The 26,053-nt window shown below is 40.7% G+C and overlaps 1 protein-coding gene across 4 annotated transcripts in view, besides 1 other annotated feature; it reads left to right on the top strand.

Annotated features, from left to right (window-relative positions):
• Positions 1 to 26,053, top strand: part of OSBPL1A (oxysterol binding protein like 1A) — a 235,780-nt gene that overhangs the window by 106,722 nt on the left and 103,005 nt on the right. For 3 of the 4 annotated variants that reach the window (XM_017025530.2, NM_001242508.1, NM_080597.4), the window contains one exon: positions 10,155 to 10,261. In XM_017025530.2, the coding sequence (XP_016881019.1) occupies positions 10,155 to 10,261 (107 nt within the window). Of the gene's footprint in view, positions 1 to 10,154; positions 10,262 to 18,870; positions 19,482 to 26,053 lie in introns of those variants that run through there. The other variant, NM_018030.4, reaches the window with a different exon arrangement.
• Positions 16,751 to 16,964: a silencer, noted in NCBI's record as "fragment chr18:21854103-21854316 (GRCh37/hg19 assembly coordinates)". NCBI's record gives its function as "represses an EF-1alpha promoter that drives an FKBP-Casp9 reporter gene in an ReSE screen in K562 erythroleukemia cells {active_cell/tissue: K562}" and the evidence as "EXISTENCE:reporter gene assay evidence [ECO:0000049][PMID:32094911]".

Raw genomic sequence — 26,053 nt, 5'->3', positions numbered from 1 at the left:
GTTTTTTTGTTTGTTGTGTTTTATTTTGTTTTTGTTTTTCCTGCTTCTTGGGTTTGGAGGTGTCCATATAGAGTAGTTTTGTGTGTGTCGCTGTTGAGGCTGTAAAGGTTTCTCTGCTTCTGGGCTACTAGTTTTAAATTTGGATTTCATATCTAGGCATGCTACAAGCTAGGGGCTTCAGTTTCTCAGGTTTCCCACCCAGAGCTTAGGCAAGAAAGTGTCCTTCTTCCCTGCATCCCTGAGCACAAGGGCAGTTTTCTACTCCCACTGTCACTAGGGGTCTGCCCCTTTACTAGACCTTACCCACTTGATTTGGGAGGCCAAAGCCACATACCTCCATTCATGTAGCTGTAAAGCCTCATCTATTTTGTTGTTGTTGTTGTGTTTTGTTTTATTTATTTATTATTTATTTATTTTTTGGAGACAGAGCCTCGCTCTGTTGCCCAGGCTGGAGTGCAGTGGCACCATCTCAGCTCACTGCAACCTCCGCCTGCCGGGTTCAAGCGATTCTCCTGTCTCAGCCTCCCAATTAGCTGGGACTACAAGCACACACTGCCACGTCTGGGTAATACTTTTGTATTTTTAGTAAAGACAGGGTTTTATCGTGTCGCCCAGGCTGGTTTTGAACTCCTGAGCTCAGGCAATCCACCTGCCTCAGCCTCCCAAAGTGCTGGGATTACAGGCGTGAGCCACTATGCCTGGCCAGGCTCATCTGTTAATCTTCTGGATGTATGTTCTGTCTGACACCCACCTCTATCCTTGACCTTCCTACCAGGCATCACTGGTTAGGCCTGTTGCATCAGCCTTGCCTTTTGTTTGTTTCTTTCTTTCTAGCATATCTGGGATTTTATTCTTTCAAACTCTGCACTACATTATTTTACTGTTTTATTCGGTGTCTTTATGGATTGTGATTGGAGAGATGGTCCCATCAGCCTAGTCTGCTAGGTACCACCAGTGTCCCATGCTCTTTCTAATATAAAACATGTCAATACTCTACAATTTATATTATCTAGTATAAAGCAAACACATATAGCCTTTTTTTGTACATTGTCCTGTGTATTTGACGTATAGATAGTCCCTAACTTACAATGGTTCAACTTATGATTTTTCAACTTTACAATAGTGTGAAAGTGACATTTTCAGTTTATGATGGGTTTATTGGGATATAACCATACTGTAAGTTGCGGAGCATCTATATTAACTTATTTGTGCCTGGTAACAGCCCTATGCAGTATATACAACTATTCTTTCCATTTTACAGGTAAGTTGACTGAGGCACAGGGAGCCTATATAACTTACTTAAGGTCACAGAGCTTGTAAAAACCAGAGTTAGCATTTGGCCCTGGGCAGCCTGGCTCCAGGGTGTGTTCTTAACCAATAAACAGGCTGGCATGGTGGCTCATGCCTGTAATCCGAGCACTTTGGGAGGCTGAGGCGGCAGATCACCTGAGGTCAGGAGTTCGAGACCAGCCTGCCCAACATGGCGAAACCCTGTCTCTACTAAAAAATACAAAAATTAGCCGAATGTTGTGGCGTGTGCCTGTAATCCCAGCTACTCGATCCTGAGGCAGGAGAATTGCTTGAACCCGGGAGGTGGGGGTTACAGTGAGCCAAGATCATGCCATTGCATTGCAGCCTGGGTGACAGAGCCCAACTCCATCTCAAAAAAAAAAAAAAAAAAAAACAGGAAAAAACAATAAACAGTCTGGAATGAATATCAAAAATTCAGTGTTGACCCCTGAACATTTGATCTAGGAATAGGAGGAACAGGAGAAGTTTTTCAGATTTATAACCAGATCTACAATGTAAGGTAGAATTTGTTGAGGACAATTACATTAGCTTGGCTGTTGTAGTTAAGATAGTGTTTAAATCTTCATTGTCTTCTACTCAGAAGTTCAAGGGTAGAGGGGGATTGATGTAGAGCAGGAGTTTCCTTTCCACAAAAAAGAAATCCCCCTTTTTTGCTGTTGTTCTTTTCCTTCTCTTTTCTTGTCCTCATTCTTTCTGTTCTTCATCCCTAAAAATACATCATCAATTCACTCAATTTCCCAAGACCAAACTTTGGAGTCATTGTTCTTCCTCTTTCTCCAAATATATTTTGTTGATCAGTTCTCCCATTCAAGTACTAACCAGGCTTGACTCTGCTTAGCTTCCGAGATTAGCTGAGATTGGGTGTGTTCAGGCTATAGATAGTCCTGTCTCTTAATATCACTTTACTTTGTTTCTCTTCCTATGTCCCCCTACCATTATGCTAAAATAGGCCATAGCCATCTTTCCCATTGATTACCACAACTTCTTGGCTGGACACACTGCCTCCACAATTTTTTTTTTTTTTTTTGAGACAGTCTTGCTCTGTCACCCAGGCTGGAGTGCAATGGCCGATCTCGGCTCACTGCAACCTCCGCCTTCCAGGTTTAAGTGATTCTCCTGCCCCAGCTTCCCAAGTAGCTGGGATTACAGGCGTGTGCCACCATGCCCAGCTAATTTTTGTATTTTTAGTAGAGACAGGGTTTCACCATGTTGGCCAGGCTAGTCTCGAACTTCTGACCTCAGGTGATCTGCCTGCCTTGGCCTCCCAAAGTGCTGGGATTACAGGCGTGAGCCACTGCACCCAGTCCTGCCTCCACTCTTATATTCCTTCATTTACCTCCATGGAATATTCCACAGAATAGTTAGATGCTTCTGAAACACCAATTGGAATGGTCACAGCCTTAACAGAAGCATTCAGTGCCTTAGGGTATAATCTAAACTCTAAGTTGACTGACTTTATGACCTGTGTGTCTACTCACTTCAGCTGCTTCCTCTCTTAACTATTCCTTCCTTCCTTCTACACTCTGTGCAGCAACAGTGACCTTTTCTCATGCATTTGGGTCTTAGCGTATGTTGTTTCCAAGGTATGAAATCGCTTTTTCTCATCTTTTACATGTAGTTTCCAGAAACTCCTCCTTGACTTCTCTAAGACTATGTTCTTATGTGTTTTCAGATCACCCTGCACTTTGTCTACCATAGCACTAGCCACTCTTTAATGTAATGCTTCCTGTTTCCATTTCTCTCTCTGGGCAGGCCCAGCCTCCTCAGGTGTTAGAAGGGACAGAAAGAGCAAGCAAAGGTACAGGCCACAACAGTTGCCCCTATTCAGGCCTGTCGTACAGGGCACTGGAGAGTGAGCTTCTGTCTTTGGTCCAAGCTTTCTTTCAGGCAGCAAGGTTGAAGAATCCAATAGGTGAGACAGTGTGGCTATGAGACTACGTGATTTATTGCTCACTTTTACTTCTGCCAAAGTCTATTTTATTTTATTTTATTTTATTTTATTTTATTTTATTTTATTTTTGAGACAGAGTCTCTCTCTGTTGCCCAGGCTGGAGTGCAGTGGCACGATCTCGGCTCACTACAACCTCTGCCTCCTGGTTCAAGCGATTCTCCTGCCTCAGCCTCCCGGGTAGCTGGGATTACAGGCAAGTACCACCTCGCCCAGCTAATTTTTGTATTTTTAGTAGAGACAGGGTTTCACCATGTTGGCCAGGTTGGTCTGGAACTCCTGATCTCAGGTGATCTGCCTGCCTTGGCCTCCCAAAGTGCTGGGATTGCAGGTGTGAGCCACCATGCCTGGCCTACTTCTGCCAAAGTCTAGAAGACAGGCAAGCATCATACCCTGAAGCTCTCTCAAGCACTCAGAATGGATAAACTCTCTTATGTCATCCAGTTCTGCACCTTATTCTTTGTGGCACAGACCTTTCCAAGACTCCTCTCTTGACCTTGGCCATAGGTGGCCCTTTCTAGATCATATGTGGCTCAACCCTAGTTACCATTTACTTCATTGACTCCGTTTTTCTCATAAGGACTTACCATAAGGTGGGGAACCCATTGGACAATTCAATCAGAAGTGATGCAAACCCAGTTATACCCTTTGATGAAGATTTCCTCAGTTTGATTAAAATTAACTTCCTTATTGCCTCACTTCATTCTCTTTTGCAAGAGAGTACAAAACACATTCTGTAGTTCTGCTGGCTTCTCTCCTGTTTTGTTTGACTCCAGGTCTTTGTGACTTGTACTCTTTTCTAAATTTTTAAATGTAATTCATTTTATTTTTTCCAAATAATAATATCCTTCTCCTCTTACTCTTCTAAAGTCTCCCTTTGATCAGTATTATTCTTTCAATAGTAATTGTTTTATTTTCCATTTTCCTTGCTAGACAGCAAGCTCTGTAAAAACAAAGACTGTCTGTCCAACTTACCCCTTTTTCTCCAGCACTTAGCTGGTGCCTGCCACGTGGCTGCCACTCCATAACTGGCAGATGAAAACCTCTCACCTTGCTAGAGTTCTCATTGATCATAATTCTGAAACTATCTTCCCTCAGGACTAGTATATTTGGCACTCTATTTTAGAAGTGCTTATTGGGTTTATATTTAGCAATACAAAAATGTTCCTTGTTCTTTAAGATCCAACTCAAGTGCAACATCTTTTCATCAAACTATGGATTATTCTAGTCCATAATGACAATGCTCTTCTCTGAAATTTTAATATTTTTTAAAAGTATGCACAACTTGCTAGTTATGTCTCACAACATCCCTGATATTATCTTTTTATTATTCATTTAATACATGCCACTTTGAGCTATATATTTTATATCCTCCAGTGCAATGAATATAAATTATATAGATGTAGATATATAGATTAAATGGTCAGAGGTACTTCTTCAGTGGATGATTGTATTCAAGGTAGTCATTTTAATTTGAACAAAAAATAGATTTCTATTTTTATGTCTTTCAGCATGACCTCTTTTGATATTTTTCAAGTTATAGTTTTATGGAGTAGTTTTTAGAAGGTTAGTTGATTTTTATGTGCAAACATTTTTTCCCTGTTTTGAAAAGAGAGTACTGATTTTCATTGAAGCATTTATATAATTCCAATCTGATATGAAAGTCCATTTTGTTTATTTATTTTTTGAGACAGAGTCTTGCTCTGTCACCCAGGCTGGAGTGCAGTGGCGCGATCTTGGCTCACTGCAGCCTCTGCCTCCTGGGTTCAAGTGATTCTCTTGCCTCAGCCTCCTGGGTAGCTGGGATTACAGGCACACGCCATGATGGCCGGCTAATTTTTGTATTTGTAGTGGAGATGGGGTTTCACCATGTTAGCCAGGCTGGTCTCGAATTCCTGACCTCAGGTGATCTGCACGCCTCGGCCTCCCAAAGTGCTGGGATTACAGGTATCAACCACCGCGCCCAGCCTTGAAAGTCCATTTTAAAATGGACTTCAATCATTTAGGTTAGATCAGGTCTTTCATGTATATAGTCATTATGTATTGCATTTTTTTACACCACAAAAGATAAATCATCCCATTTTGTTATTTTCTGTATTTTCTCTGATCTTTAGCTTTGTCACTAGATTTTGTAGTTTTTGGACTATTTAGTCTCTCTCCTGTTTGTGTTTAATTATTAAAAAAAGCCACATACATATTCAAGGTAGCACCATTACCAGAAGGGTAAGGATGGGGAAATAAAATGCCTTCATCCAGTTTTTTTCTTTTAAATACTTGTCCCAAATGATGGAAATATTTCAGTTAAATGTTGAAAAACAGGCAAAATATATTTTCTTGTGCCACAAGTAAAAAACAAAATGTAGTTAAAAATTACTTATTTCTCAATCTGCCCTAATCAACCAACCTATAGTAATATAAATGAAAAAGTTTTCATTTCACATTTTTAAACTAAAGGACCATAATTCTTTTAAGGTAAAATATAATAAGTGAAGCCATTTGGATTCAGATTATATTTTATATTAAAAGAATTATGGTAGCAAGATGTGGAATAAGATATTTTATTAGTTTCCTTATTCATTTAATAAATATTTGAGAGGTTTTATTTTGGCAAAGCTTGGTGTTTGGATGGGGGTAAGGAGGTTTAGAGTTTACAGAGGGTCACAGAGAGACAACATACATTCAATGCCTCATGCCCCTATAACAAGTGGGTGTGGCCGCTGTTGGAGTCCAGGAGCAGCTGCTGTCATGTCCCATGGTGATATTTTGTCGTCGTTGTTGTTTTTAGAGACAGGGTCTTTCTCTGTCGCACAGGCTGAAGTGCAGTGGTGTGGTCATAGCTCATTGCAACCTTGAACTCAAGTGATCCTCCTGCCTTGGCCTCCCAAAGTGTTGGCATTACAGGCATGAGCCACTGCACCCATTCTCCACAGTGATATTTAAGGAAGGCTTCCTGGGGGAGGATGGCATTTGAACTAGGCCTTGAAAGAAAATAGTTTTTTTTGTCAAGTAGGGAAACTTCTGAATATGGATAATTATTGTTTCCAATATTCAAGTAACATGTCAATATTCAGCATTCAACATCCAATATTCACCAATATTTTGAAGACTGTTTTTAGGTAAACAAACATTTCCAGGAGAACAATCTGGCTGAAACAAATTTAGTTTATTGAGCATCTTAAATGTTAGGCTAAGGAAATGTGGACTTTTTTTTTTTTACACTAGGATAACAGTGGAGGTTGTCTGTACAAGGGATTAATTTGTTCACATAAAGAAACAAGTGTTTTCCCACTATTTTAAAAACTTACCCAATTAAAAATTGTTCAGCGTAATCATGAAAAATGACAGATTGTGAGCTTTTTATGTCTCTAAAGTTAAGCTTTTCCAATATGATCTTCTCACAGCTTTCATGACTTTAAAAACGTTTTTAGTACGAAAAATAACTTTTTTCCTGAAAATCAACAGCATCAGATTCTTACAGCAGGCCAAATAAGGCAACATACTGGCCTTTTTGCGTTTATTCATGACAGTTTAGTCTCTAAATATTAACCAGCTAAAACGTATTTGCAGTGATTCCCAGTTGGTCACTTTTCTAGAAGCTTAGCAATTTTAATTTTTTTTTTATGTAACATTATGTAAACATAATTCTATAAGAAGCATGCCAGTGTGAGTTGAATGGACCCTGATGTGCTACACTGCAGTGTGGCATACGGCAAGGTTCGGCAATTCTTAAACTGTTCCGCTGTGGAAGTTCATTTCAAAAATCTTGTTTTAACATTAGCTTGTCAAAGAAATGAAGTAACATTTGACTCTTTTGGACAAAAGAATTCGACGCTCTCTCAATGGTGGATTCTTATGAAAACTTCTTTATATATATATATACACACACATATATATATATTTGGAATATTTTTTGAAACCTTGCAGAACCAGTATTTTCAAACACTTGTAAGTATTCCTAAGCATGTATTTGGACCATTAATGTTGCTTCATGGTAACAAGTATCTAAAGTTTATGAAATATCTAAAACAGACAAAAACAGGATGATTAAGCTTATGATGGTATTAATAAAAGAACTATATCTATGAATGGTTATGCTTCTATCTTCCTGCCATTTATGCCCTGAAAGTGGAAAATTACTAGATTACTCAGAAAATTTATGGAAGGGATAGGCTGTGTCTGTTTCTCCTGGTACATCTCCTCAGTCCTCGGTCCACAGTTCGTGTTGAGACATCTGTTCAGGCACTATTTAAGTCATATGGCACCTAGCATATGGTAGTCTCTTTTGCTATTTAGCAACTAAGTAGAGAATAAATCTTCACAATGTGTATCAGAGGTTCAAAATGAAAAATAAAGTCTGTAAAGTCAAATTTGTTTTAGAATATGGTAGTTTTCAATTAGTTGGGCTTTATTAAAGAAGCTAACAAGAGAAAACTATTCTGTAAGATGTATTTTGTAAGATGTAAACTGTGGTAAAATATAATTTGGCCTTCATATCCATATGTGTGTGTGTGTGTGTCTGTGTGTGTGTGTATATATATACATATATATATATATATATATATTTTTTTTTTTTTTTTTTGAGATGGAGTCTTGCTCTGTCTCCCAGGCTGGAGTGCTGTGGTGCCATCTCCGCTTACTGCAACCTCCACGTCCCAGGTTGAAGTGATTCTCCTGCCTCAGTCTCCCGAGTAGCTGGGATTACAGGCGCCAGCCACCATGCCCAGCTAATTTTTGTATTTTTAGTAGAGATGGGGTTTCACCATGTTGGCCATACTGGTCTTGAACAGTAGTATAGAAAACTTGAACTCCTGGGCTCAAGCAGTCCTCCTGCCTCAGCCTCCCAAGTAGCTGAGACTACAGGTGCACACCACCATGCCCAGCTAATTTTTAAATTTTTTGTAGAGATGAAGTCTTGCTTTTTTGCTCAGGCTGGTCTTGAACTCCTGGCCTCAAGTGATCCTTTTACCTTGGCCTCTCAAAGTGCGAGGATTACACACATAAGCCACCATGCCTCGCCCTAGCTGTAATCTTGTGTCTTTTAACAAATCTTGTTCTGTCCCGACCTTTTAGTTATTTTTTGATGAAAAGACTTCTTAAATGTTAAGATTTTTATTTGATGGAAGGGACAGATTTAAAGGATCTTAACGTCTAATTAACAAAATATCAGAAACCATTTCAACTAAGTGCATTTCTTTTGCATTAATCTGGACATAATATTTTACTTGTTTTTAAGTGATATATATGCACTTTGCACCTTCCTCTTGTCAATATTTTGTTTTTGTTTTTGTTTTTTATTTTTAATGAGTAAATGGGTTAAGATTTTCTTTAGAGGACCAGGGCAGATACTGATACTACCATTTCTTTATTGCCAACTTAAACATATACTCAATGGTACTGGACCTTCATAGGAACACATTTTTGAGAGTGAAAAGACCTACTTATGCCAAACAGTGGTCCAAATAGGAAGTAGAGTTAATGCTGTTTTCAGATATGTTAGCCACCATGATAACTACAGAATAATTTTTTTTATTACTTGCTTTTGAATAAAATTACTTATCTACAAAGGAAATTTTAATGTTTTATAAGGAGTGCTATCAGTCCTTCTTGTCAGCTGTTTTTCTTAAACATTACCCTGTTGTTTAATTCCTGTAAACTTTTTTTTTTGTCTTGGTGATTCTTGTAGGGCAGTGCTCCCCAACTTTTTTGGCACCAGGGACTGGTTTTGTGGAAGACAGTTTTTCCATGGACTCGGGGGTAGGGTTGGGAGTGGGGGGTGGGGAGATGGTTTCAGGCTCAAACTGTTCTACCTCAGATCATCAGGCATTAGATTCTCATAAGGAGCCCGCAACCTAAATCCCTCATATACACAGTTCGCAATAGGGTTCGTGCTCTCGTGAGAATCTAATGCTGCCACTGATCTGACACAAGGCAGAGCTCAGGTGGTAATGCTCACTCACCCTCCACTCACCTCTTGCTGTGTGGCCAGGTTCCTAACAGGACCACAGACCAGTACCAGTCTGCAGCCCGGGTCTGGGGACTCCTGTTGTAGGGTATAGACCTTTCTAGGAGAAGGCTCCATTCTTTCTTTTTCTGTACCAATTTATGTGCCCTAAATAAAGCGTGTGCTTAAATAATGATGCCCAAGAAACATGAGGCTGGGTGCAGTGGCTCACGCCTGTAATCCCAGCACTTTGCAAGGCCGAGGTGGGCGGATCACCTGAGGTCAGGAGTTTGAGACCAGCCTGGCCAACGTTGTGAAACCCCATCTCTACTGAAAATACAAAAAAAATTAGCCAGGCATGATAGCGTGTGCCTGTAGTCCCATCTACTCGGGAGGCTGAGGCAGGAAAATCTCTTGAACCCGGGAGGTGAAGGTTACAATAAGCCGAGATTACTCCACTGCACTCCAGCCTGGGCCACAGAGTGAGACTGTGTCTCAAAATAAAAAATAAAAAAAAAAAGCCGGGCGCGGTGACTCACGCCTGTAATCCCAGCACTTTGGGAGGCCAAGGTGGGCAGATCATGAGGTCAGGAGTTTGAGGCCAGCCTGGCCAATATGGTGAATCCCCGTCTCTACTAAAAATACAAAAATTAGCTGGGCGTGGTGGTGTGCGCCTGTAGTCCCAGCTACTTGGGAGGCTGAGGCAGAAGAATTGCTTGAATCTGGGAAGCAGAGGTTGCAGTGAGCCAAGATTGCACCACTGCACTCCAGCCTAGGCAACAGAGCAGACTCCGTCTCAAGAAAACAAAAAAAAAGAAAAGAAACATGATATGTTTTGCTTAAGATAGCTAGATGGAAAGATGAGGTTAATAGATATGAGAGTATTTTTGTGGTCTTAGTTTACCTTAAGATTCCTTAAAATCCGACTCACTGTATTTATTTTTTTCTTTATAGAAATGCTTCCATCATTTCTTCAGAAAGTTGAAGTTGTCTCAGAAGCTTCTAGAGAAACTTGTGTAGCTTTGACTGATTGCCTTAATCTCTTCACCAAACAAGAAGGGGTAGGTAGTTCAGAATTGAATTTGTAAAATAATTGTTTGGATGTTGCATGCGTGGTTGTCCATGAAGTCATTGCTTTCAAATTGTTCAAAGGTAGGAAAAAATTAGTATTAACAAAGGAAAGCTTCATTTGTCACAAAAATTTAGAACTTATTTATTATTGATTAAGCAGGATGAAATAACTTGTGTTCATATCTTTTGAATTTGTTGATGTAGCCATATTTAATAAGTATACTTAAAATTGATCTACTCAGGATTGTTATGACACTTCAATAAGAGAGATGTGAAAATATTCTAGAAACAGAAGGTCTTTACATTAAAAATACTTTTATTTAGAAAATAGAGTACTATCATACTTATCTATGTAAACTAAGCCCAATGGATTAAATATTTTTTGTGTTCTTTCCCCTCACTCTCTTACCCTTCAACAGTTTGCCATTTGCTTTTCTAAATATGAGTAAGGGCTGAGCATGGTGGATCATGCCTGTAATTCCAGCATTTTGGGAGGCTGAGGCGGGCAGATCACCTGAAGTCAGGAGTTCGAAACCAGCCTGTCCAACATGCTGAAACCCCGTCTCTACCAAAAAATACAAAAATTAGGCCAGGCGTGGTGGCTCACGCCTATAATCCCAGCGCTTTGGGAGGCTAAGGTGGGCAATCACTTGAGGTCAGGAGTTCGAGACCAGTCTGGCCAACATGATGAAACCCCATCTCTACTAAAAATACAAAAATTAGCCAGGCGTGGTGGCGCACACCTGCAATCCAGCTACTTGGGAGGCTGAGGCAAGAGAATCACTTGAGCCTGGGAGGCAGAGGTTGCAGTAAGCCGATATTGCACCACTGCACTCCAGCCTGGGTGATGGAGTAGACTCTGTCTCAAAAAAAAATCAGCCAGAGAATCACTTGAACCCGGGAGGCAGAGGCTGCAGTGAGCCAAGATTGCACTACTGTACTCCAGCCTGAGTGACAGAGCGAGACCCTGTTTCCAAAAAAGAAAAGAAAAGAAAAGCAAACCAAATATGAGTAAGAGTGGTATGCTGAGCTATCAGTGATTCATTTTCAAAGGATTGAAAAGTTACAAAGATGTGTTTTGGTTGCCAGAATTAGGATTTTTCTTGTTTTGCTGTTTTTCCCCTAATTTTTATGATTTCAATGTAAGTCAAGGTCACTAGGCTTTCTTTTCCATTTTGTTAATTTATATATATATGTCTAATCTTCAATATTTTAGATTAAGATACCAAATTTCTTATTCTTGTTTTAGTTTACTTGTACCTTTTGGTTAGAGATTAGGTTTTGGTAAAAGAAGATAGATGAAATTGCTTTTATATATTTTCCTCTAATACGTAAAAATCTAACAATTTATTTTCTCATGACTAGAAAGGGATCCTTATGAATTCATATACAATTTTTTTTTTGAGACAGGGTCTCACTCTGTTGCCCAGGCTGGAGTACAGTAGCGCAGTCATGGCTCACTGCAGCCTCAGCCTCCTGGGCTCAAGTGATCCTCCCACCTCAGCCTCACAAGTAGCTGGGACTACTGGCATGCACCATGATGCCCAGCTAATTTTTGATTTTTTTTTTTTTTTTTTTTTTAAAGAAATGGGCCTTTGTATGTTGCCCAGGTTGGTCCTGAACTCCTAGATGCAAGCCATCTGCCCGACTCGGCCTCCCAAAGTGCTGGGATTACAGGCACGAGCCTCCATGGCGAGCATATACACATTTTTAAATGCTGTGTTTGCTATATGTAGCACCAATTCTACATATTAATTTATTTGGAGAATAAGACAAATATGGAAATAAAAATCATTTAAAACAAACTTACCAAAAGTCTTTTAATAGAATTATATTAACTATCACAGGAAAACATAATTGTTCATTAAACATTTCAAATGGTTGATTTTTTAATACTGTTTGAAAATATCCCTCCTCAGCACTTCTATTTTTGGTGGTTTGCAAATTTCATGTGTAAGTTTATTTAAATAACAGATGATTTAGTGTTCTAAATAAATCTGAACAGGATGATTGCATTCAGAATATCTTTGAAATTAATAAAATATGATGTCATAGGATTCATGAAATATTTAGTACCTTGTAAAACCGCATTTCACTCATGTCTCTTATGTGGTACCTGATGGATGTATCGATAGCTTTCTTGTTCCAGAGATATATGGTTTTAAGGCTGAACATTAGATTGGAAGTAACGTGTTATGTTGGTTCATGTTTAATTTCTGAAGCAATCAACCTATTCTAATTTTTAAACTATCTGCTTAAAAAATAACCTAATTCTTTAGGTTATTTAGATGTGCAAGAGTGTTAGCCTAAAGTTTAGGCTAATTGACCTCTTTTAGCCTCTTAAATTTATCATGAGGATTAAATAAGATAATGTAAGCAAAATACTTAGCATAGTACCAGACACATAGTAAGCCCTGAATAAAAGTTAACAGTTATTGTAAGATCTTAACTAATTAACATTTGTAGCCTCTCTTTTCTGATAGTATCTTGGAGCTTTTATGTGTGTAACAGTGGATTTATTTTGTTTTGGGAGGAAGTAGCATTGTCTAAAGAACTTTTATTTGACCACTATCATTGGAATGATCGTGTTGTGTTTCCATTCTTGTTGTTTAAATGACAAGGCTACTTCACTTCTCTGAACCTTGTTGTCTTCATCTTTTGAATAAGGGAAACCATATAGCAAGCTTTTAGAAGCACTGGTCTGAAAGTCTGGTGGACCCGTTTTTAATCTCAGTCTTTCTCTAACTTTTCTCCAACTGTGGGACAAGTTTCTGTAAAATGAAAATAAACACCTCAGAGTTGGGTGTGGGCATCAACTATATGTAGATGAATGTTACATATATAGAGTATGTTAGCATACTGCGTGGAACACAGTATTCTGTTTAGTAACTAGCATTTAATGTTTCAAACTTTTGGAATGTATTGAAGGTATCTTCTGAGTAATTATATGAAATTATCAACTCCATGAAACACTTAGAATCCATAGATTTCCTTCTCAACAATAAGATAAACAGTGAGAAGGCACTGCAAAATATTTGAAAGGTAAGTGGCATTTCTAAAGTTAGTCTTTCAAATGCATAAGGATTACAACATAGGAATTTAACAGCGTAATCGAGGTCAGAGTGGTGTAATTATGTGCTGTAATACCTTTTTTATCTGGCATTATAAATTACATGTCTATTATCTGGAAATTTTATTAAAAGAGCAGGCATAAAGCTTTGAAGACCTACAGACCTGGCTCTAATTCCTAGCTCTGCTATTTGCTCTCTTTGACTCAGTTTTAAAATACAATCTCCTATTTAAAATGGTGACCACCCAAAAGGGATTGTTTTAAAGAGTAAATGCGATCATATTGGTAAAACACCTCTGTAGGGACTGGCACGAAACAGGGATCCAGTAGATGTAAGTGACCCCAGCCCCCACAGCAGCAACGCTGTTTTTATTCTAGTCTTTTTTGATGGCAGTTATTCTAAATGTTCCACATTTACTTCTTAACCTAAAACTTTAAAACTTAATTTTATGTTTATTTCTTTTCTTTTTTTTTTACAAGCCCTTGTCAGACCATAATTTTATGTTTTCTAGGTGTCTCAAGATTGGCCTTTTGTATGTCAATAATTATTCTGTGCCTTAATACAGAGATGCCCTCAGGGGATAATGTTTATGTGAGTCTGTGTTTTTCTACCAAATGGCCTGGTCCTGCCAATGCTTTCTGGACTCTTGTTTGCTCTTTATAGGTTTTTAAAAATTACCTCTCTTGATTTTTCAAATTAACTGTGTACCTGCCTCTAGCAGTGGAATACTGATGCCTCTGATTTACTCTTTCTAATCTCCTGTTTATTAAAAAGAAAACTAGATAACCAAACTCCATAAAATTATGTCCAGTCAGAGTAAACTGGCTCTCTATGAGAATCTTGGGGGTTTACAGTGTGTGCAGGCTTTCATGCCTTCTATTTCTGTGGTATGTGGGTGTTTTTTGCTTATTTGAGGATGTACTGATATGATCTACATAATCGAGGTTTTCATAGGAGCTATAAATAAATGAGGCATTATTGTAGGAAGATTTTATTTGTAAATAAAACTGCTATGGCCTATGGCTCATGCCTGTAATCCCAGCACTTTGGGAGGCTGAGGGTGGGTGGGGGGTGGATCACCTGAGGTCAGGAGTTCGAGACCAGCCTGGCTAACATGGTGAAACCCCATTTCTACTAAAAATACAAAAAATTAGCCAGGTGTGGTGGCACATGCCTGTAATCCCAGCTACTCGAGAGGCTGAGTGAGGCAGGATAATCCATTGAACCCAGGAGGCGGAGGTTGCAGTGAGCCGAGATCAGGCCATTGGCACTCCAGCTTGGGAAACAAGAGCTCTGTCTCAAAAAAACAAAAAACAAACAAAAAAACTGCTTATGCTGTTGAGAAAATGGCAATATATAAAATACTTTGTAAAGTTGGTGGTTGATCTACTGAAGAAAAACCTAGATGCTGTTTTTAGGGTAGTTTTCTTGGAAACAGTATAACAGAATGTGAGTGCTGGGTCTTTTCTTAGCCTGGTCTGAGAGTTCCATTCAAAATGCCAGAAACTGGTTTCTGGAATTATATTTGTTTCTGTAGTTTTCCTTGCCAGAGGATGCCCTCCTCATTTTGTGTACTATCGAGCTTCCTTGATGTTAGTCATACCAATTTTTCCAAGGTAAGAACTGCCCATTTAAAGTCAGTAGAAGCTCACTTATCAAGTGTTTTATACATATTTCATGTTAAATCTCCTGACTGCTGAAAAGCTGTGACCCAACTGTATGACTGGAATGTCATACAGGCACGGTGGCTCATGCCTGTAATCCCAGCACTTTGGGAGGCTGAGGTGGTGGATCACCTGAGGTTAGGAGTTTGAGACCAATCTGTCCAACATGGTGAAACCTCGTCTCTACTAAAAATACAAAAAATTAGCCAGGCGTGGTGGCAGGCACTTGTAATCCCAGCTACTCGGGAGGCTGAGGCAGGAGAATCGCTTGAACCCAGGAGGCAGAGATTGCAGTAAGCGAGATTGCACCCTTGCCCTCCAGCCTGAGCAACGGAGTGAGACTCCGTCTCAAGAAAAAAAAAAAAAAAGAGAGTGGGACTAATTTTGTGGTATAATGGAAAGATTCAGACCCTACATTGGAACCGTCTGAAGGGTTGGAATTCTGTACTGCTTCTTTGGACTGGACACTGGTATCTTTGAAGAGAGATCATGTGTTCATGTGGACTTACAGCTCTACAAAGTCATGATCTCTTCCATTCATTTCATTTCCTTTGCTGTCGGGCAGTCCTGTAGTCATTTTGTGACCCTGATATCTTTTGTTCCCTAATGTTCTTCACAGCTCTTTTGGGCCTGCACCCGTCTCTGGCCTTCTGTCTCTGTAGTCCCCTCAGATCTCCTTCCACTCTGAGCAGAATTCCTTTGTTAAACATGAGGTAGTCACTGTATATGGCTCCACTCCCTACCACTCTTCACTCCAGTTTTTATCTGCATCTGCTCTTATACTTTCCTCTAGCCTTTTGCTGGAGGCATCTGTCTCCTTCCATTCTGCTTCTCTGGGGACCTTGCTTCAAAAAATAGCTCCTGTCTTTGGAATTCTCTACCCCCTTATTTATAGCTTTTGTCTATCTCCCTGCATCCTTTTCCAATTCCATTTTTGAAAATGTGATACTTTCTGTTTCTACTTCTTAATTTTCAGCAAGTCCACCGAAACTGTTCTTGCCAGTATTTCCTTATTGCTAAATCAAAGGACATTTAAAAATTGTCTTGCTTGTCCTCTGAAGGGCCTGGCATGTGACTACTTCCTGTTTTTTGGAATTGCGCTGTGGCTTCCACAGTGCCGCCTCTTTTGGCTTCTCCTTCCTTTGTAGCAGCTCCCCCTCAGTCACCTTCTTTTTTTTTTTTAATTTTGAGATGGAGTCTTACTCTGTTGCCCAGGCTGGAGTGCAGTGGTGCCATCTTGGCTCACTGCAACCTCAGCCTCCCGGGTTCAAGCGATTCTCCTGCCTCACCCTCCTGAGTAGCTGGGATTACAAGTGCACGCCACCACACCCAGCTAATTTTTTTGTATTTTAGTAGAGATGGGGTTTCACTGTGTTAACCAGGCTGGTCTCAAACTTCTGAACTGAAGTGATACACTCGCCTTGGCCTCCCAGAGTGCTGTGATTACAGGCTTCAGCCACCACGCCTGGCCTCAGCCACCTTCTAAAGCATTTTTTCATCTGCCTATGTATTAAATATTAGTATTACCTAGGTTTCTGCGAGTGACCTTCTCACTCCTCATATTCTCCCTGGATGATGTCACCCATTCTTTTAACTAGAATTCCCTGAGGACTCAGATGTCTCCACCTCAGACTTCTCCTGAGTTCTGATCTAATATATCCAGCTGCCTTTTGAACATTTACATATGCTTATATCAGAAGCATTTCAAAACCAACGTGTCTCAAACTGAGTTATCCATTCAACTCATAGACTTGCCACCCATTCAGTAATTCAGGCCAGGATCATGGGAACTGGCTTTGGTTCATCCTCCTTCTTCCTCCCTATCTTTAATCAAGTCCCGTCAATTTTTTTTTTTTTTTTTTTGTGAAGGAGTCTCGCTCTGTTGCCCAGGCTAGAGTACAGCGACACAGTCTTGGCTCACTGCAACCTCTGCCTCCTGGGTTCCAGCAATTCTCCTGCCTCAGCCTCCTGAGTAGCTGGGATTACAGGCACACACCACCATACCCTGCTAATTTTTGTATTTTTAGTAGAAACGGGGTTTTACCATGTTGGCCAGGCTGGTCTAGAACTCCTGACCTCAAGTGATCTGCCTGCCTCGGCCTCTCAATGTGCTGGGATTATAGGTGTGAGCCACCGTGCCCGGTTCAATTTGGTTTTTTAATATCTTGGTTGCCTATCTCCCTTTATTCTGTCTTCCCTGACTCCAGCATACAGTTCCCCATTGCTGTTCTGTGAGATAAATTCTCAAGGCTGCTCTGTTGGATGACTGTAACCATTTCCTCATACAGGCTCCACCCTTCAAAACTAGGTGAGGTGTCCCTGCTGCTCCATGAGTTCCTGGCTGTCATAGCATTTATCATATTGTATCATTATATATTCACAAACTGGAGCTTCCTAAGGAAGCAACTGTATCTTAGTTATTTTTGTAGCATGGTACTTGGCATGTGGTAGATGGTGAATAAATATTTGAATGAATGAATAATGAATGTACAAAGGAAAAAATTCAGGCTTTGGGATCAGACCAATCTGGATCTAAACTCTGCTACCTCGACCTTGAACAAATGAATATATGTTTAGGAATTCTGTTTCCACATCTGAAATTGAGCGCATATATGTGCTATTTTATGTGAGGTGCTTCAGTACAGTACCTGGCACATTTAGGAGCCATGTAGATTGCCTTTTAAAACAAGAAGGTAATTTGTTGTTCATTGTTTTGCTACCTAGCACTACTTTTATAAACTGAATTCATTCTCTAATTTTCAGGGCCTAGGGAGAGATTCTGTAGCAGGGACTCCTCTTTCCATACATGATTTTTCCAAGTACAGTAACAGTTATTATTCTGAGTGAAAAAAGTAAAAGAAATGAACTGACTTTTCAAAGATGCCATGAGGCTGGGCGTGGTGGCTCACGCCTGTAATCCCAGCACTTTGGGAGGCCAGGGCAGGTGGATCACTTGATGCCAGGAGTTGGAGACCAGCATGACCAACATAGCAAAACCCCCGTCTCTACTAAAAATACAAAAAATTAGCTGGGTTTGGTGGTGCAGGCCTGTAATCCCAGCTACTCAGGAAGCTGGGGCACGAGAATCACTTGAACCCAGGAGGTGGAGGTTGCAGTGAGCTGAGATTGTGCCACTACACTCCAGCCTGGGCGACAGAGCAAGACTCTGTCTCCAAATAAATAAATTAATTAATTAATACAATAAAATAACAATGAAAACAAAGATGCCATGAAACCTCACTGACATTCATTCCCAATTTTCCCAGCATGGCCTGGAATGGTCTTTAACACATTCTAGGTCTGTAGTGCAATTACAGCTACCACCAACTTCAATGGGACTTAAAGTACCTAGGATCTTGTGAAAGAAATATTTAATTTTGTTCATTTTTACTCTGAACTCACTAAAGTATGAGGACAGAGTTAAACACTTTAGTAAGGTGAAAGGTTTGAAACATGTTGAAACAAAAAGATTTCTTTCCCTCCATCAGAGTGTTACAGTTAACCATAAATTTCATTAACCTGAACATCCCACTTAAGTGTGGTATTTGGGTGGTGGGTTTTCCTGTCCTCTGAACCTTTGCCCTTCAAGCCTGGCTGGAATAATTTTACCTAAGTAGGTTTCACGGTAGTAGGATTAATACCGTTGTTTTCCTTGTTGCTCAGTGTCCCAACTAGGGTATAAACAATAAATATGTGAAGACTGCCTTTCAGTCTTGGTTTTGGAACCGTAAACGCGAACGCTTCAGCGTGAGCCGGAGTAAGTGACAGGCAGGACTGGAGAGAAGATTCCTTTGCTTTCCAGAGTTTCCCAAGGGGCGGGTTGGTTAAAAAAAAAAAAAAAGAAAAAAGAAAAAAAAAAAGTTGCCAGGGCCGGTGTCTCCAGGAGAGGGCCGAGCGCACAGCAGCTCTAGGACCTCGCAGGCGCCTCGGCGCGGCACTCACGTAGAGCCCAAGGAGCAGTCCCCGACCTCTCCTCGGAGGGCCGTGCAGGCTTCCCCGGCGGTCCCTACCTGCGCCTCCGCCCGCCAGCGGCGCTGGGGAAGGGGAGGAGCGGCCCGGACGCTGCCCGCCGCGCGCAGGGAGCCGCCCGCCGCAGGCCTTGCCGCCGCCCGCCCGCGCTCTCCCCGCGAGCCCCGGAGGGCGGGTCTGCGGCCGAGCCAGCGGCGGCGGAGGGGCAGCGCAGACCTCTGCGGCCCGGGCGGGCGCGGCGCGGGAGTCCTGGGCCGCTGGCGGGCAACGCCTCTGCCCGACCTCGCTGGGGAAGGCTGGCGCTGCTGCCCGGCCGGAGCCAGGGGCAGGCTGCGCAAAGGTGACTTAGGGAGACCTTGCGGGCCGCCCTGGGTCGCGCCTCCCGGATCGGCTCGCCTCGGCTCGACTGGAGGGGAGGAGGAGGAGCAGGCCGAGCGCATTCGCGCTGGAGCTTGCGAGGAGCGCAGGGTGGAGCGCGCCAGCCGGGGTCCTCGGATCTGGCCCAGGTAGGTGGGTGTATTTGCAGCTCGGTGGCTTTGCGGGGCAGCCTGGGGCCACGGAGGACGCCGGGGGACGGAGCGGGGAGGGCGGCCAGACTTGATCCAGGGATGTGAGTAGATCCAAGAATAGTTGGACGTGTGTGTGCAGAGTGGGGTGCAGCCGCGGGCGCGTGGGGAGGGGCGCACCAGCCGGGAGACCCTGCTCTCTTCCCAGTGCGGGTCTCCCTGCCGTGGGGTTCCTGCAGGAAGAGCCCCTGGGGAAAAAGCCCGTGGACTGATGTGTTTCTCAGTTGAATATTGGTATTAGGTCAAGAAGGGCTGGAGTGGGAGGAGTAAGACAGTGAAAGACATTATTGTCCTAAATAACCTTCCAAGTTAGTGATTTTTCGCATGGCTGTGCTCCGGCTGACATTGAGATGAACTTACCATCCGCTCTTCAGAGGCCGCTGAAATTCCAAGAATACGAGAAGTGCATGAGCGGATTAAGGAGAGAAAGGGAAATTCTATTTGTGTTGGGGAATGGGGAGGTGGCTTTTAACTTTAATGTTTTGATTAAGGATTTTTGATTACTCACAGGCTTTCTTTGTAGCCTAAACCAGCGGGGAATCACGTTTCCTAGCATTCAGAGCATGTGGCTAGTTGTTTTGTGCTTTCTGTTGTGCTGGATTTTTCTGGGTTTGGAGAGAGGGTGGTAAGGAGAGGAAGATGCCAGAGAAGAGCTTAGTACAGCTTTTCTGAGTTATTAAGGCTATTAAAAGTTTCTTAATTTTAATTAGGTTCAAAGACTGAATTAAGGCATTGCTTAGCAGGAATCTTTTTCGAGAGAGAAAAATGCTTGAAATGTGTGTTGGTGGAATAGTGTGTAGGCAGGAAAACGGGGTGGGGTGGGGGGTGTCTAAATACAAACTTGCTTTCCATTTTGAGGACACACCGAAGTTAATCTCCTCTCCAAATCAAATTTTTTAGTCCCTAAGCTGATGTCTTTGGCAAGGTAACTCAATTTCTGTTTAGTGGATATTTAATCTGAGCATAACTACCAGGGAGCTATTTCAGCCTCTGTCCCAGTGCTACTTTTGCCAGACTGGAGTTTTAAAGGAACTTGTATCAGCCTGAATATAGTTGCTGGACTCTAGTCTCCCCTCTTTAAAAACCCTTTAAAGGTTAAATTTAGGAGATTGTATTGACAGTGAAAGTGACCCGTATAATTTCTTTGCCCCCAGTTGTGAGCCCTGCATAATGGGGGGGAAGTAAAAGAGCCTGTTAGGTTTTCCATATTAAAGCAAAGGTCTTACTGATACTCAGGGTGGTTTATAAATAGTTTGAGCATGTTTAAATATTGTGCATAACTGAGAAAATAATTATGCAACATCATAATCTAAGCTCCATGTACAATTTTTGACATTTATCATTTACATTCTTTATAAAAAGGTTGGCTAAACTTACTACTTCTGGCATTCAAATATATGACTGTTTATCAGCTTTCTGAGAATTATAAGAAATATTTTAATTCCTCTAAAAATAGAAATTTAGAATTGTTATTCAGTCCACATTATTCAACATATATTCCTAAAATTTTCAGTTTATTTTATATATAGTCCAGAGATATAGCTACAAATTAATTTTGGAAGCAGCTAAGACATAAGTTATAAATAGAATGAAGTTTATGTAAACTGAAGCTGGATTTCATTGTGATAACTTTTGGGGAATTTTTGAACAAAATACATAAGGTTTTAATTAGCATGGTGTGTGTGTGTGTGTGTGTGTGTGTGTGTGTGTTAGGCTTGTCATGCTTGATGTGACTCAAGATCTATCCTGATAAGTTTTTGTATCTCACGATGGTACCAAGACTATAATCTGCATGTGACTGTGTTTGTCTTATTCCGTACCATATTCCCAATATAGAATGCAGTGCCTGGCTTGTACTCTGATTAATTTTGCATGAGTTATATAGGCAGACATAATTTTCCTTTCATTTTAACTTCAGAGTCTTAAGGGTGTAACCCCTATACATTTTTATAATGGTCCATTGAGGATTTGATGTCTGTTACTTTCTGTGACTTTTTTTTGAGTCATTTGATAAATATTTATAGATTGTTTACCTTATAAGAAACTGCTAGACCAGTCTGTCTTCATAAAATTAGATGACTAAAATCTATGTAGTCATCTGACTTATACCGGCGTCAGGTGACTAAATAAATTCTTACAGAAGGTGCAACATACCCAGAAGCAACAGAAGAGGGTAAATTTTAGCAAATCGTTAAGACCGGAATGGAAGGGAAAGAATAAAGAGAAAGTCCAGTCTAAAAGATAGAAGCGGGGTCCTTTTGAAGGACTTTGTAAAGTATGCTTATAGAGTTCGAAACTTATCTTGGGCAGTTAGAGTCACTGAAAGATTTTAATCAGATTTAATGAGATTTGCTCCTTATGAGAAGGATTAGAGAGGAGCACAGGCCTGCAAACAGGACGACCAGGTGCAGGAACTCAAGAGAGATAATCAGGGACTGAACCAAGTTAGTGACTGTGGAGAAGGAAAGGGGGATGCAGAGCAGAGATGCTTCAGAAACAAACGGCATGAATAGGAGCTGGTACTCCAGGGAATGTGGGGAATGAAGGTGGAGCCATAGGTGACACCCAGTTTTATGGCACAAGTCACACTGTATAGAGGTGATTAAGGTAGGGAATTGAGGGAATGTGGAAAGATGAGTTGCCTTTTGGACATGCTATTATGTTCAAGTAAGATTGTCCTTAGGTGTCTGATAAAAATTTGAGAATCATTAGCATTGGGAGTCACCTACGTCAACATGGTAATTGAGGTCAAAGGAACGAATAATGTTACCTAGGAGAAGACGCTTGAACAAGTTTGAAATCAAAAGATTGAATACTGATGCTTAAAAGACAAGTGAAAGAAAGGGAGCCAGTGGAGATGACTGAGAAAAGGCGACCAGAGAGGCAGGAGGAACTCTAGAACAGGGGAGATCAAGGGAGACAAGCTGCCCAGAGGACAGGTAAGAACTGAAGCATGTCCATTGTATTTGGTAGCCAGGTGGTCATTGGAATCTTTTTTTTCCTTTATTTTTTCTAAAAAACAAAAACAAAAAAAAATGGGGTACATGTGCAGAACATGCAGATTTGTTATATAGGTATATGTGTGCCATGGTGGTTGGTCATTGAAATCTTTGATTTTGGAAGTTTTAGAAGCTTCATATAGGGCCAGGTGCAGTGGCTCACACCTGTAATCGCAGCATTTTGGGAGGCTGAAGCAGGTGGATCCCCTGAGCTCAGGAATTTGAGACCAGCCTCAGCAGCATAGTGAAACCCTGTCTCTCCCAAAAAAAATATAAAAAATTAGCTGGGTGTGGTGGTGTGCACCTGTGGTCCCAGCTACTTGGGAGGCTGAGGTAGGAGGATCACTTGGGCCTGGGAAGGGGAGGTTGCAGTGAGCCGAGACTGCACCACTGCATTCCAACCTGGGTGACAGAGTGAGACCCTGTCTCAAAAATAAAAAATAAACAACAAAAAAAGGAAGCTTGACATAAGAGGAAGCCAGATTGCAGCATGCAAAGGAGTGAGTGTGAGGGAGGTGAGGAAACAAATGATGAAGATAGACTTTGTAGACATTCATAATCTGTGGATGATTGTAATTTTATTCCTTTTTTTCAATTCTTACACATTTCATTTCTTTTTGTAATTCTTCATTTACTGGCTAGGGCCTTCAGGACAATGTTGCATAGAAGCTGAGATGGTAGGATTCATGTTCATCCCTGATTTAAAAAAAAAAAAAAAGGCATACCTCTAACTTCTAATGATTCACTGTTAAGAATGGTATTTAACAAATACCATTTACCAGATTTAAAGAGTTTCCTTTCATATATTGTTGAAAATTTTTTTTATCATTAAAGGGTGTTGAGTTTTATCAGATGTTCTTTGGTGTCTATTAAAAGGGTTGTATGGTTTTTTTAAATCTGCTAAGCTGGTAAATGATATATTTGGACTGTTTCCAGTGCCAAGCCAGCCATCTTTGTGTACTTGGAATAAACCTAATTTGGTTATGATGTATTATCTTTAACATTGTTCTCAATTTGGTTTCCTTTGGATTTTAGTATCTATTTTAGTATGTATGTTTATAAGTAAGATTGACTTGTAATTTTCTTTTTTTGTTCTGTCCTCATCAGGGTTTAATATCAAGGTTATACTGACCTCATAAAGTGAGTTTAGGAGTATTCCCTCCTTTGCTGTTTTGTATAAAATTGAAATGGTCTGTTCCTTGAAAATTTAGAACTTTCTTATAAAACCACCTTATCTTTGTAAAGTTTTTTTTTTAACTAGTAACTACATATATTTAATGTTTCTAGGATTATTTTAGTTTTCTATTTCTTTTTGGGTCAGTTTTGACAAGTTATATATTTTTAGGAATTCTTTTAAGTTTTGAAATGTATTATAAAGGTATTCATAATTTTCTTTCTTTTTTTTTTTTAACTTAGGTTGGATCTGTAATTATATATCTTTCCTAAACTTTTTCCATTTTCTTTTTTCTAATACTGACTTGGATATCTCCAAATAAATTTCTTTTCAAATGAATCTCAGTCCCTCCCTATAAGTCTCATTAAAGCTTTTTTTGATTACTTTTCAAAGAACGGTCTTTAGTTTCTTATCTATTGCATCTTTTTTAAAATTAAATTTTACAATTATCTGTATCAGTTTTTTGAGTTTTATTTTTTTCTTTAGAACATTTATTATCCTCTGTCTTTTGAACCTGGATAATTCAAAGTTTTTCCTTTCTGGATTTCTAGTTGTATATTTCGTAGTTCTAGCATTTTTTGTAATTTCGTGAATGTATCACTGTTAGCTTTAGCCGTTGGTTTATTTTTTAGACTCTAATAATGTATTTTTGTAGACTCCATCTTTCCAGCCTGAAGACTGCTTATGAATGGAGTCTAGGTACTATCCCCCTAACATTTAAAAAGCCTAAAAGGTACAGAAGGTTTGGATGACTTCCAAGTTTTTTCTGTGAGCCACCTCGTCCTGTTTCCACTGCTTGGCATTTCTGTTTCTTTTGCTCACCTACTGCTCACCTTCTTCCTCTTTTTCCTTCATACTTTCTTTTCTATTCTTGAGTGGTAGAAGAATGACCCTCATCCCCTTGTTGCCTTTTCCACCTTTTTTCTTTCTCCCTTGTTTTCTCTCTCCTACACTTTGAGGATTTTTCCATCTGCTCAACATATTCATCTCCCCCTTTCCTTCTTCTCAGAACCTTGGCCCCAACACCAAAGAGGAACAAGCCAGGATAACCTGTGTCTGGTTTTCTTTAGATGCTCAAAGGCTCACCATTGTTTACCTCATGATCTGTGTTATTCTTTATGCAGACCAGCTGAAGACAGAGCCAGGGAGAGCGTGGGGAAAGCCAGGGAGGAAGGCATAAATGATAGAACTCAAACCTGCTATTATGTAGGGTCCCCAGGCATGGGTTTCAGTAACAGGGACCCTTTTCTTGCTCTTTGACTCTGGGCAACTTACTCCAAGGCTCACGTTCTTTTGTCTAACACGGAGTCGTTAACGCAGACCCTTTCTTTCTACATCACAGGTGGCTGTGACATTCAGATGCAATAAGGAGAAACCTGTCAGTTTCCATGTTTTATTCTCACGAAAATATCTTAAAAGGAACTTGTGCACAACTCAGGGAGAGAAAGGGAGCAAAACTGGTTTGTGGCATGGTGTGTTGGAGGAGAGAAACCCCGATGGGAAGCAGTAGGTGGTGATGGGAATAACAAGAAGCACAGTGGTTGTGCTCAGTGGTCAAGAGAGATGCAGGGGAGATGTCTTTCCCCTGGGAGAGGGGAGCTCATACCCACCCAGGCTGCAGACATGGACACACTGTTACACACAGTGGCAGGGGAGATGCTATGCTCCGGTGACAACATGCTACATGCTATGCTCTGGTGACGTCAGCTGTTCTTTTGCCTAATTATTTGCTACATTCAGGACACTGGGCCTTTTTGAGTTTACTTGAGAAATCAGCCCTCACTTATAATAATGTTTCTGTGAGGGAGATTTTTGTTGTTGTTTTTCTGGGTTCTGAACAGCTGGATTAGAAATGATTTGTGAGCATAATTCTTAGTAAATTTCTTTTTCTTTTTCTTTTTCTTTTTCCAAGATGGAGTATCACTCTGTCGCCCAGGCTGGAGTGCAGTAACGTGATCTCTGCTCACTGAAACCGCTGCCTCCCAGGTTCAAGCAATTCTCCTGTCTCAGCATCCCAAGTAGCTGGGACTACAGGCGCATGCCACCATGGCTGGTTAATTTTTATATTTTTAGTAGAGATGGGATTTCACCATCTTGGCCAGGCTGGTGACGAACTCCTGACCTCAGGTGATCCACCCACCTCGGCCTCCCAAAGTGCTGGGATTACAGGTGTGAGCCACTGTGCCTGGCCAAAATTTCTTACTTGTGTTAGAACTTATTTAATTTTGAATATTTTATTTATTTGTGGTATTTGTGTTAAGGACTAGTTGTTTAAAATCCCAAAGTCTCAGAATCGGTATTAGATTGTAGAACATCTGGTCTGATGGTCTTCAGAGGTT

This window comes from Homo sapiens, chromosome 18, assembly GCF_000001405.40.
Source record: "Homo sapiens chromosome 18, GRCh38.p14 Primary Assembly".
Classification (NCBI taxonomy): Eukaryota; Metazoa; Chordata; class Mammalia; order Primates; family Hominidae; genus Homo; species Homo sapiens.
This window is presented reverse-complemented; position numbering and strand designations above follow the sequence as displayed.